Source organism: Homo sapiens, chromosome 3 (assembly GCF_000001405.40).
Source record: "Homo sapiens chromosome 3, GRCh38.p14 Primary Assembly".
NCBI lineage: Eukaryota > Metazoa > Chordata > Mammalia > Primates > Hominidae > Homo > Homo sapiens.
In genome coordinates, this window is record NC_000003.12 from 97,730,076 (window position 1) to 97,743,750 (window position 13,675).

Below are 13,675 nucleotides of genomic sequence, written 5' to 3' on the forward strand. Positions count from 1 at the left end.
ATAAAAATGTGATACCCTGCACAGTCTAAGCAGTCCTTGCTCAATAGTATTGTTCAGAGATGTCTCAATATCTTCTTATTGACTGTCTAATACTTGTTTTCCTTAATATAAGATGTGCATTGCCTTCTTTGATTCAGAAACCATCAAGAAAATTGGAAAACTCATCAGATTCAGCAAGAGCAGAACAGCCTGCTACGTGCCCCAACTGAGCCTTCTGTTGATTCTAGGTTGTTAAAAATTGTGATGTCAATGTCAAGAAACCAGTATGATCTATTTAGAATAAGCAGCCAGGTTTAAGATAATAATTTCTGACAGAATGTAATTCCTTCTAACTTTTCATAAAAATTATCATTGCAGTCATTTTCATATTTTTCACATTATTTTAATTTTCTTCTTACATTATAACCTTGTATAACTCTTCTTCCAAAGGATGACAGCCTACAAATATCATAAAACCAAACTGTTAAAAAATTCTCTCTAGTTAATTATCACCCCTTCGTATCCTAAGACAACAAACCTCAATTAGTCCTTTAGACAAAGCACCCCATATGCTGCTCCCTGTCAGTCCTTAATTAGGGAATCAGAATATACCTCTAAATCAAAACTTTCCACAAAGAAAATGTTTATGAAGATAAAGGTTAATATAGGATTTCTCAAGCTTCTCTGAAAATTCAGCTTTCATAAATCACATATCTGACAATTGGCACTCCATTCTTTGACTTGACAAGGCATTGTGCTACATGCTGGGAACACGTGGAACAAAGAAACAGTCGCTGCTCTGGAGGAGCTCAGTTCACCCAAGCTAAGAGACTACAAATGTTTTGTATTGGCTGGAGCCAAGGGTAAAACGGAACACAGCAAAGGTGAGGACTGAGAGCCAGGCACATGGTGAGCCATTGCAGAATTTCAGATGTGGGAGGAACATGATCACAGTTCCACTTCAGTAGGATTGCTTTCATTGTATCGTGGGGGATGATTGGTGGAGGAAAAGGAGAAGCAAGGAGACTAATGGGGGGCCTTTGCAGTGATCAAAATGGGAAATAAATCATTTGAAGACAGAATGAAAAAAGATTTAAATTTTATGAAGGCAGTAGAATCAGCATGATGAGTTAATTTTGAGCAACAGGAAAGGCAGAGGCCCAGATGACTCCCTGACCGCTAACTTGAATCACTGGAAGAATGGCAGTACCCTTCCTAAAGGACAAAAATCCCAAAGGAGGAGCGGGTTTAGTTTTGCACAAAAGAAATCCAAGATACCTTTATGAAGTGATATATCCTATAGGTGATAAATATAGAAATCTGGAGAGAAAGCTGAGCTAGAGCTGCAGACATGGAGGCCATAAGCAGATAGGTGACAGTGAAAGCACGGAGTATATAAGTCACACAAAGAGATCTCAAGATCTAATTCTGGGGGAATGCGTCAAGATGTGGTGCAAGACTCAGGACAGATTTCTCTACCATTACTGTGATCGAGAGGCTACCATGATGATAATATTAATCTATTATTCATGAAACTACTTGCTATGTGATATTGACCCAATCTTTTAATCAGTTTGAGGTTTGGCTTTCTTACCTATGTGTATAATCATACTCAAATAATAAAGTATTTTGAGACCTAAATTAGGTAAACTGTGTTAAAACACCTAGCTCAGAACTTGACACATAATAAACTCTCAAAGGTATATATGTTGAATCTGAAACCAGAAAGTTGATAGAAAATTGAACTCATCATCACTCCAACCCGAGAATTGCTTCTTCTCCTCTGTCCTCTCTCTTTACCAGCTGACGAAGCCAAAATCCTAGAAGTTGTTTATCTCCTCCCTCTACTTGGCACATCTAATCTCAGCCCAGTCCTGTCAAAACAGTTCACTTCTTGAACACCACAGCCATTGCCTCCACTAAGGCCTGGACCACTGCAAAGCTCCTTCCTGGATCCTTTGACTCCCCAGTGCACTCTCCGCACTGCAGCCACAGTGAGCTTTTCTAAATGGGAAATCTAATATAATTTACTTTCTAAAATCCTTTTCCCCTTTGCATAAAATCTAAGTTTATATCATGCCAAATCATTCGTGATCTCAAGAAACATAATTTTACGTAACCTCCCAACCTCAAAACTCACCATTCCTCTCTTTGAAGACTATTCTAGCCACCTAAATCTACTTGCATTCTAGATCACATCTCCTTTCCTCAACCCACGCACTTGGCCCTGCACCCTTTCACATAACCCTTAAGGTTCAGTCACCTCCTGGAAGAAGCCTTCCTGAGGCTGGGTTAGGTACCTCTCCCACATGCTCCCATAACAGCCTGTTCTATGTGGCACTTCCCATATTCATAGTCCCTGGTCACTCTCAATAGTTAATACATTTCTTAAAGACAGAGATATACCTGACTTGTTATGTTATCCCTTGAACACAGAATGGTCAATAGTACATATTAAGTGTTTAATATCTATCCGTTTGGATGAATAAATTTAAAAATCTGTTAGAAACATATATCTTTTAAGCAATTTTGTGAATTGCTTAAAAAATATAAGTTTCTTCTTTGACTACCTTTGAAGACAATTTTCAGATGTGTGATCTTGGGCAGGTTAAACCTCTTGTTATGATTATTTGTCTGTAAAATGGAGATAACAATTATACCTACCTCATAAAGTTATTGTGAAGATTAAAAGAGTTAACACATGAACATCGCTTAGAACTGGCCTTGAAAGTACTCAAGAGCTCTCAATAATTGCTAATAATCTGTTTTTATCACTGTCACTCTTGCTGTTATTGCTACTCTTTTCCTGTAAGATGGGTCCCTTTGTGTTTGGCACCTGTCCCTGGCTCAAGACAGATTTCGCAAGGCTGTAAATTAAAGAATTGAGGAAATTTATAAGCCAGAGGTCAGCAAGAAAAAGTCATGAGTCTTCTGATCCTCCCACTGTCCCCACAGAGAGGCCGGGACCACATGCTCTACTGGATGCATTGTGGGTAAAATTTCCAGGCAAGGGAACCTACCCGCTCATCACTCTTACAAGGCATGCATGAGAGCAACTTTGTCAAGAGGCATAAGCAACCTGCTTAATGCTAAGCATTCTAGATTTGGATGCCAACTGTCTACAGGAGTTGTCTGAAGCTAAGGACCTGGGGCCAATGGAAAATAGTAACCCTGTGGACAGGAGGCAGAAGCCACAAGTCTTACAAGAAGCTGGGTTTTGGTCAAGTACCTACCTCTTAGAGAAGAGCAAGCTTCCAGTTTCATCTGGCTCCTTGTCCAGGAAAGCCAGAGTGAGTTTATGAGATCATTTTTGGACAAGGTTGCTTGATGCAGCAGTTTTTAAATCAACACCTTCTTCAGAGAGGACTTCAAATGCCATCATGCTTATACTTTGAATCTATTTTTAATAGGTTGAGACACTAAGTTTTCCAAGAATCTGCTCCTCTATCAAGACAAATCCAAAAATTTCTTCTAATAGCATTTGTTTAGGTCAATAATATTTATTAATGTGTCAGGCAATGTACTAAACGATAAGCATAGAAAATTTAGAAGTATAATTCCTGCTTTCAGGTATGTACAGCCTTAGAGGAAAGGCAGATGAAAAAATTACAGTACAATGTTATGGATGCAATCATACATACATGCACAAGACTCAGAGGCATTAAGAAATGACTCTGTTCAGTTTGAGAGTATATTGTGCAAACTATGAAATAAATAATTTTTATTTACCCAGAATATTAAACTTAGGATCCAAGTAAAAACATTGAAGTCCAAATAGCAGATGCCATGACAAAAGATAGCATGGTAATCACTACTAAAATTGTATTGGGTGATAAGAAATTGGAGAGGAAGATGTTTTATCATGAGAACTAAAAAGCATTTCTGGGGAGTGGTCAGAGGAGAATGTTGTAAGTTAAAAGGAATTTAGTTCAAATTTCAACCCTGCCACTTACTAGCTATGTGAATTTAGGCAAGTTTCCTTATTCCTCTGAGTCTAAATTGTCTCATTTAAGAAATGGAGATAATAATATCTACCATATTGAGCTATTTTAAGCAGTAAATGAATAAAAATATGCAAAGTGCATAGCACATGGTAGATAATAAAGGAAGCTATTTCTTTCTAAGAATATAACCTCACTTGTCACCTATTTTATTCCATGCATTTATAATTAGATAACTGGAAAATTGACTATCAAGCACTCCTAGAGTGGGATTTCAATGTTGTTTTAAAATGGAATTCTATGCTATTTCTCTTAGTTGCTTCTCTGAGCTATCCACAATAGTTTTAATGCATTGCAAGTGTTTTACACACATCCTGCCTTAATAAAACATGTAACAAAATCTTAAAACCCAAGCCTAGTTGCTAGTGAAAGTAGTCAGAAAGCAGATGAGAAAAATCCTGTTCAGTAATAAAATATAAAGTGAATAGAAAAATGCTAGCATCCTGACAGGCTAAAGTGGTCTGGTCAAAAAGACAATGATGGGATTATGAGAAATTCCCTATTACTAAAAAAGCTAAAACTTAGCAGTAAAGAGGTTCGTGAAGACATATTCTTCCTTTTTTACAAACAGCCTCTAACATAAATTAAGAATGTGTTAGTCATGTCCAATAGTGTAAATTTTAAAATAAATCAAATTGCATTTTTATATTTCTGTATTTTTGAGAGGGACAGAGGAGGGGGAAGTTAAATTTTGCCTGTCTTTAAATATTAGTCTGTTCCTCCGTTTTCCAAACTCAACAATGGTGACAATAAACACTTTCTTTTGTCTTTTCCCTGGAGATAAGAATAAATGTTCACACGGATACTTTTGAACATTTTATGAAAACCTAGGCTACATAAATTCAGGGTCAGTATTATCATATTGCTAGGAAGGTGGATCATACACTAAACAGATGAATTTCCTGCCTTATCTTGTGATTTCCTTAAGTACCAAGAAAAATAGTTGTTATCTTGTTACTCTTAACTTTGGGATCTTATACAGATACATTTCCCGAGAGCTGCACTGTTCCATAGAGTAGCCATTAGACACATGTGGCTATATACATTTAAATTTAAATTAATTAAAAGTAACTGAAGTTGAAAATTCAGTTTCTTCATTCTAGTAGCTGTATTTCAAGTGCTCACTAACCACATGTGACTGTGTGCTACCATGTTGTAGAAAGGGAACATTTCTGTCATCACAGAAGTTCTGCTGAAGCACACTAGCTCAGAGGACACTCAAGCTAATGCTCCTATTGCCCTATAGCCTTAAGCTAGCCAGTGATAGCATTTTAAGAATTAAATGACCTTAGGAGGTATAGGAGTATGACTTCATAATCAGGTCAGTGTCAGACTAAGGGAAAGCTAAATGTAAGAGAATAGAAACTAAATTAATGATGAAGAAAGAAGGGATGATGGTTAGAAACAGGGTACACATTGACATTATCATAAAAGGATAAAAAATGACTCAAGAAATCAGTGCTTCAACAGAATTTTTCTTAAAATTTTTACTTAAGACATTTGTTATATGTTATTTGCACTAAATGCATCAATCACAATGCTGACTTTCTGATGTTTATTTGGGTTTTGAGATGTTCCAGCTAAGTCACACAAAAAATTATTTCTTAAGGTTGTAGGGAACTTAACCTCCTCTATACTGGTAGCACATGTTTAAAACATATTTTCCTCTCGTAGGGTGAGCAGATGCTTTGGAGCTACTTGCAATTTTTGTTCACAGCTTTTGTATTTATCCTTATTTAGGTCCTTGTACTCACAAGTAGTTTTCATGCTTACCATTATTTTGGCTTCTTCTGCTTGTAAAAAAAGAAATTATAGCATATGTATTACTGCCTAAAAATAAGAGAGTAATCTGTATATGTTTGCATTTAGGTCATTCTGTCCATTGAAGAAGGGTACAGACTTCCAGCTCCCATGGGCTGTCCAGCATCTCTACACCAGCTGATGCTCCACTGCTGGCAGAAGGAGAGAAATCACAGACCAAAATTTACTGACATTGTCAGCTTCCTTGACAAACTGATCCGAAATCCCAGTGCCCTTCACACCCTGGTGGAGGACATCCTTGTGTAAGAGGCATAATGTTGAGTTTTTTTCTTCTTGACAATTATGGTTTCTTTCAGGCTATAGATAATAATAACAGGTAGAAAGGAAAAAAATGCCTTGATAACCATCTAGTTGTTGACTTTGTGGAAACCATATTTCATTTATCAGCTGAAAAAAAGAATTATTAACATTAAAGTAAAAATGGACTCTTTTAAAAAAAGATAACAGATTCCCCTTCCTTTTCTCTCTCTCCAATCTTTCTGAATTACTTTGTTTTTATCTTTTCCTGTTTGGGTCTTTGATATTTACATAGCCTTTTAAAATTGATTGATCCTTCCTTACCTTTAGAAGTAGAGAGAGAGAGAGAGAGAGAGAGTGTGTGTGTGTGTGTGTGTGTGTGTGTGTGTGTGTGTGTGCAGCCCCTTTAATTTTCTTGCCTATTCTATGTTCTGTTCCTGAATTTGAAATGGCAAGCCAGACAGGGGCAATTTGTGAATCAGCCCAGAGGAAGAATATTTCCTGCTGATATGATCACATCTAGTTGTTGTTACTCTCCATTCCTAAAACCAGAAAAGAACAGATAACAAGACAAGAAAATGGAGGCACTCATACACCATTTTGTAAAAGTCAGTAGACTTGAGAAGATCTACTCACCTCCCGGTGAAGAGCAATTATAAGAGGAAGAGTAGAAAAAAAAAGACTATCATCTATGTCTGAAAATATTACATTTTAAATATCATTAAGTTAAAAACATATTTCTTTATTTAGAAAAAGTTGGACTTAGAAATAACCAGTGCATATCCAAAGCTCACCTTCTTCACTCAGGGGATGGCTGGGGCTCTTCAGACATTCACCTTCAGATCACAGGTTCAAGCCAGTGCAGGTTTTTAGTGACAGTAAGGCCGAGGCTCTTCAAGGACTATTTGAAACAGACCTCAGTTCACAGCAGAGCACTTAAGAGTTCACCTCTAAATCACTAATTGGCAGCCTCAATAAAGTGAAGCCAAGCATGAAATAGCTAGAGATTAAACTATTACTCCGGCCCATCTTCCCTAAAGAAGTCCAGCACAGGAAGCAGTAAAGGAAGGAAAGGCACTTTGGATTTTATCATGAAAACAATGGACAGCCATGGAAGGATTTTAAGCAAGGGAACAGCATGATTACGTTTGCATTTCTGAAAGATCACTCTAGGGATGATTTACACTGTGAGTGCAAAACAAGGAACAAGACTGGAAACAGAGACAGTTTTATGTTTTCAGTAACTAAAGCTAGAAAAGATCAGGGCTTGACTTCTGAAATGGGAATGAGGTTGGGGGTCAGAAGATAAGAGAATTTTATTATTATTATCATTTCCTAATAATAAGTAATAATAACGTTTATTATTAGGAAAACCAATGCATCTTAGTCACTGTTTGAATATGGAGGGAGGGAGGAGAAAAAGAATCAAAGATGTTTGTCAAGTTTCTTTCTTATACAAGTTGGCTGATGGTATTACCCCAGAGAGAGGGAGAGGGACAAGTTTTTGGAATAGAAATGAGACCATTTGAACATGCTGAGTTGCAGATGCCTGTGGGACATCTAGACAGTTATATTTATAGGTTGAACCTCAGGTAAAAAGATCTGGACTAGAGATGTAGATTTGAAGATCATCAGCATATAGATTATAGCTGAAGCTTTAACTGTAGTTAAGATAGCCCACAGAGAGTATAAAGAATGCATATAAATAGTGGAAAGGATGAAACCCTCTAATTTAAGACATGAACTGAACAAAAAGTACCCAAAGGAAACTGAAAAAGAGAAGCCAGACAAGTAATCAGGAAAAGAGGGAAGAGCAGTATCATAGAAGCCAAAAGAGGAGAGAGTTTCAAGGAGTATAATGTCCAAGCCTTCACAAAATTGCAGTAAAATAAAACATGAAATGTCTCCACTGGATTCAGCAAGCAGACATTCAGGTGTGCATACACAACCTTTGGTACAGCATTTTCAATACAGTTGCATAAGACAGATTACAATAGAGGAAGAGTGAATATAAGCTCAGAGAAAGGAGCAATACATAATACCAATTTTTTTTTTTCAAGAAACCTGTCTCTGATGAGAAAGAAAAGTAGTTAGAGGAAATGTTTCTTGGTTTTTGTTTTTATATGAGTTATTGAGGTGACTTGGTCATGCTGTAGTATTGAGGAGAAAGAGCTAGTAGTGAGTCTGCATTAATGGAAGAGGATACTGGCATCTATAAACTGAAATCCTTTAATCTGGGCCCCTTGTTGTGGTATAGAGTTAACAGAATCCACAATCAGTGCCCATCAACAAAGCTGTCTGACTGTGCTATAGCTATAGAAGCAGGATGTAAAAACCTTCTTTTTGAAGAAAAGCAGATAAAACAATTTCCTCTCTGCTTTTTCAAGATTATGAATGATCATCATATTTGGAAAATATTGATGAAGAATGTAAGATGAGAAAGTGTCAAAAAGTAACAGGGATCCAGAGGTCAAGTCAAGATGAGAGGGTGTATCTGAGGGCCAGAGATCTGTGATTTAGTGGGCTGTTCAGCAATCCAGCAGAAGAGCCCCATGAGTGGCAAGCTCTGAGACAGCACTGCAGCACGCAGGCCAAAAGTTGGGTGCTTTATATAAACTTGGCATCTTGATTCAATTCTAAAGTCTGATCTCTGGGAAACCAAATTGAAGTTTTTGTGACTGATTTGCTATCCTCATTTCTGACAAAGACATATGTGATACTGCTTTTGCCATTAATATACTTTTGTTTGAGAAACAAAAAGAATCAGTGTTCTAAGGTTCACATGCCTGAACCTTTATCAGCGTTCTCATTTTCACAGCAGCCTGGATGGGTTCTCCTGCTCCACCCTCTTACTTGCAATACCACCCACCCACTCTGTTCCTGATTCCAGAGAACTGAGACTGTTTAGGGAGAAGAGACACAGTAGATTAAAAGATAGCAATATTACCTAAAGAATGCCTGTTTTATGCTCATAAAACTGTGACACTGCTTCTCTATCTCCCAAATTGCAGAGCCCAGTTGTCTGCCCCAGAGTGATGCTGGATTAAGGAAACATGACATATGTAGAATTTCCATCTTTTCTCCTGTATCTCTCAAACCTGAAAAGGAGTCCAGGTGTATAATCCACTGCAACTCTTCTTAAATTCTCCTGCACTTTCCTTTTGTGTAGCATCCCCAACCCCCAGATTTCTCTCACACTTATATGCTGATATTACTCTCTCATCTGCTAGGTCCCCATGGTTTTTATTCCATTCTAATTGCTTTTTTCTCAAGACTCACCTGAGAAGCTGTTATCCTTTCTCTTGACAGAGTAGTAAGAGGGGAAGAAATTAAAGTGACAAAGGGATGAGGAAGGCCATGAAATCCACAGTTTAATAATTTTATACTAACATATTGAAAATGTAATAATTTTATACTAACATATTGGAAATTTCATAAACCTATATCTGCAATTGTTCCTCTCAAAGGTCAGAGTACCTAAATTGAAAACATGTTGGTCATAGAAGGCTTTCATTATTTGGTGCAGCAAATATTCTTGTGCCTGACACACTCCCATGGGAATATTCAGAGCTCTGTGCAGTTCCCAACATGCTTGCTTTCTCTCCTACTCAAGAAAGTGTAGATATACCATATAAGTGAATGTGGCAGTATTATAAGTATAACCCTAAATCCAACTAACAGTAAAAAACTAATTTGCAGAACCACTGTATTAATATAGGCAGTTATCCTTTCATAAATGTGAATTTCAAACTACCCTCACATTCATTCACTTTACAATAATGCCTTATAACTGCCTTTCAAATAATTATTTGTAGCTGTCATGTCATGCACAGCCCTTGGGAGAAAGGACCCAGCTTAAGGCCAAGGTTGTGTGTAGAACAGCATCTGGAGCAGTGCCTGGCCATGCACTTTAAAACACCTTTTTCTCCCTCTCCACTAACCCTCAGGACTAGCCTTGTAGCTGCTCCCAACCCCAAGTATTTTCCCACTTTGTAGCTTGATAGCTACATGGTGACCCTTCACCCAGTCCTACCTCCCCCACCCTCACCCACATTGTCCTACACATTTATTCTGCATTGTCTTCAACCCTCGCCCCTGATTACTCCACACATGGAAGTCTACTGAGTGCACCAGGCTGTAGTCAGCTGGTCAGTATCCTTTAGGACAGAGTTTCAATGTAATGGGAAAATAATGCTTTCTTCTAATCCCTGCTCCAGGTCCCCAGCATGTCACTGACAAAGAACTTGACACATTAGGGGCTTCTTGACTATCAGCTCAAATGTGGCATCCCAGGACGGGCAGCAGTTGTCCAGATGTTGGCTACCTCAGAAATAATGCTTTGCCTAGGCCAAGACACCTTATGTACTGTATATTGTTACTACCCACTGGGCCATAATTAGGGATCTTATAAGACTTTAGCAACTGCAACTACCAGCTTCTGTAGTACATATTAGTCTATCTTGTAACTTTAAAGCACTTAGTTTCCAGTAATATGTGAATCATGAAGGTAGGGAAAAGCCCATACCAATACCATTATTTAGAACCTCTTCTTTAAAAAACTGTGAATAATGCTGTAAGACTGAATAGTACTATCTCTCTCCATTTAGCGAATTATGCACCAATACTGCTATCTTCTGAATACAATAACTTCCAACATTTTGATATAAAATTTTCTACTTATTTTGAGAAGATTTTGTTCAATGCCACATAGGCAATACATAATCAGCATTTGCTAAATTGTTTATCTCTATACACCAAGTCATAGACAACTTTTTTTTTTTGATTCTTGTTGCTAGCACTTTTAAATATGCTTTTCATGACAGAGAAATAACTGGCTGGCCAAAACCAGTGTTGAAATTGAATAATAAGCAAACTTTTGTGGAAGGAAGACAGAATATGAAAGATGGATCAGGAGATTTGAAACTTCTATTTGCCCATTAGAAAAATCTAAATTCAGCCAGGCTCAGTGGCTCACACCTGTAATCCTGACCCTTTGAGAGGCCAAGGTGGCAGGATCACTTGAAGCCAGGAGTTCACCAGCCTGAGCAACAAAGTGAGACCCCATCTCTACAAAAAATTAAAAACTAAAATTAGCCAGGCATGGTGGCACATGCCTGTGGTCCCAGCTACTCGAGAGAGCAAGGTGGGAGGATCACTTGAGCCCAGGACTTCAAGTCTGCTGTGCACTATGATCATGACACTACACTCCAGCCTGGGCAACAGAGTGAGACTCCGTATCTAAAAAAAAGAGAAAAGAAAAATAGAAAATTCCCATAAACTTCTGGCACAAGATCTTTATAATATAATGTCAATATCCATATTAATACTGATACAAACTCTTAATATATATTATCAACAATAACTATGACTGCCATTTGTTGAGAGCCTACTATGTGCCAGTTGTGGTACTAGGGGCTTTTATTGGTTATGTCACTTAATCCTCACTGTTATTATTCCCATCCCTTAGACACGGAAACAGAGACATAAAGAGGCTAACTTTCCCAAGAGTACACAGCAATAATGAGTAGATCAGGAATTTGAAGGCCACTGACTCCAAGTCCTTGCTCTTTCCAGTATACAACATAGAATCACACAGAAAGGCAAGATGTTTGCTAGTACAACACTGCTTCAAAAATATGATTCTAAGAAAAGGGGGTACATTTTCACATTTCCAGATAGATTTTATCTGGACTAGTCAAACTTCATAGATGGAGTCTATTAAAATTCAAAAAACAATTCTTACTGGAGAGCAGCCTGTTATTTTATGTCCCAGTAGGCAAATACTAGAATGTAGAGAATATGACCTTAGTCATGGGAATAAATAGAAAATACATAGTCCATATATCCCCCAAACACCCTCCCACAATGCCCAGCCACTTGAAGAACATTACTTGAAAAAGGAAAGTAGTAATAGCAACAATATAGAGAAATGAGGAAAATATGGCAGTAACATCACATAATTCCAGAATTACGTCCTCAGGCATTTCTGTAGATTGAATTTTTCTGGTGCTGGCATAAATACGTTTTGCTTCTTTTTCTCACTATGGCAGATATTACTAATCATCACAACACTCTCCTGCTGAGTCCAGATTCTGCCTTAGCATCCTTCTCATGACAACATTTTGACAACCACTGCCAATGAATTGCAGTTGGCATGTGACATGAGACCTATTTTCTGATCCTGGATTACTTCCTCACAAAAGCAGGCTTTTCTTAAGGTTCAGGGGTCTATTACTCTGGCCGTAGGAACCATGTGCTGGGTACACTACTGGGAATTATGGGAAATTCTTTATAAGTATTATCCCTGCTCTGCATCTGTTCCTCTTAATGTTCAAACATATCTACAACTTTAAATTTTACTTTGAAATTTTAATTTTCATTCCTTCATATTTTTCACTAGTTATCAGCCTTATTATGTTTAAATAATCATATCAATAAAAAACAATTGAAGACTTACTGAAAATAAAAGACTGACAAAAGATAATTAATGTCCTTAACACTGTGGAGTTAGACTGTTTGAAACAAATATATATTACCCACAAGCACAAAATATCTGTATCTATATCTATATAGTATATGTCTACGCATTTGAGGTTTCATAGCCCTTTGAGTAAAATTACACTTTAAAAATGTTTTAAATATCAAAATTATTTCATTAATTTAATGTGTTCACATTGAATGTTAGGCTTAATTGCAGACAGGACTTTTTAAAAATATATGATTATGTAAATTCTTCTTCCAAGGGTATGTACATAGTGTATGCATGACAAAATTATTTCATGGATTAAGTGAATAGTGTGAAGTGCAGTCCCTGAGTCACGAGATGAGGAACTCATGTAAAAGCAGCCATATTGCATTAAGTCAATGTGCTGTTGTTGCTCTAGGTCTGGTTATAATTGCAGGTGAACCCTTAACCCTAAGCTACCCAACTCCACCTATCACTGCCTCTTTCTCCACTCTGAAACCTATAAAGACAGAATAAACATTTTCGCAATACAAGGAATAATTTGAATAAACAGCATATTATTTAATAAGTTGACCACTATATCAACAGGTACTTACTCTTCTAGGTTCTTTATTTATTGGAATTAAATGAAAATATTCATCATGAATCAGCCATCATGTTATGGACCAAACTGTTCTGTAGATAATTTAATATTCAAGTCTGAGTCATCACGTATTTAATGAACTCCTATAATGTTTTCAGCATTATGTGAGTGCCTACACAAAAACAGAGAGATGTGTTCCTGCCCTCGGGGAGTTTTCACTTATTCTTTTAAAAAAATCTGTCTTATGAATTTTTCCCAAAGAAGTTATTCAATTGAAACAAAAAGAAACATGCTGTAAGACTACATACTCATGTCTACTAAAAGAATGTTGTTAGCAACCTAAGAGTCTAACTTTAGAGAATTAACAAATTATTAAGCATCCACATATAGAATAGTATGCACCCATTTGAATATGAAAACTGCTGAAACATGGGATACATTCATGAATATGTGAAATGAAGGCAATGTAAAATAAAATGGACCCTATCTGTACATTTCTGCTAATCACATATACATGTATTAGCTAGGAAACAAGAAGTTGTGTTAGAGTGCAAGAGAAGAAAAGCCTTTAAGCATTATGAGGGTGTC

General features: G+C 37.1%; 1 protein-coding gene and 1 long non-coding RNA gene across 16 annotated transcripts in view; one reads left to right on the forward strand and one right to left on the reverse strand.

Annotated features, from left to right (window-relative positions):
- EPHA6 (EPH receptor A6) overlaps window positions 1-13,675 on the forward strand; it is a 946,939-nt gene that overhangs the window by 915,482 nt on the left and 17,782 nt on the right. For all 14 annotated transcript variants that reach the window (XR_001740110.2, XM_017006211.2, XM_006713592.4 and 11 more), the window contains one exon: window positions 5,850-6,043. Coding sequence is in view for 13 of the 14 variants with exons in the window: in XM_017006211.2 (XP_016861700.1) it covers window positions 5,850-6,043 (194 nt within the window). In the remaining variant the exon portion in view is untranslated. The remainder of the gene's footprint in view (window positions 1-5,849; window positions 6,044-13,675) is intronic.
- The window catches only part of LOC124906256 (uncharacterized), a 40,819-nt gene that overhangs the window by 12,677 nt on the left and 14,467 nt on the right, over window positions 1-13,675 (reverse strand). The gene's annotated exons all lie outside the window — the stretch shown is intronic.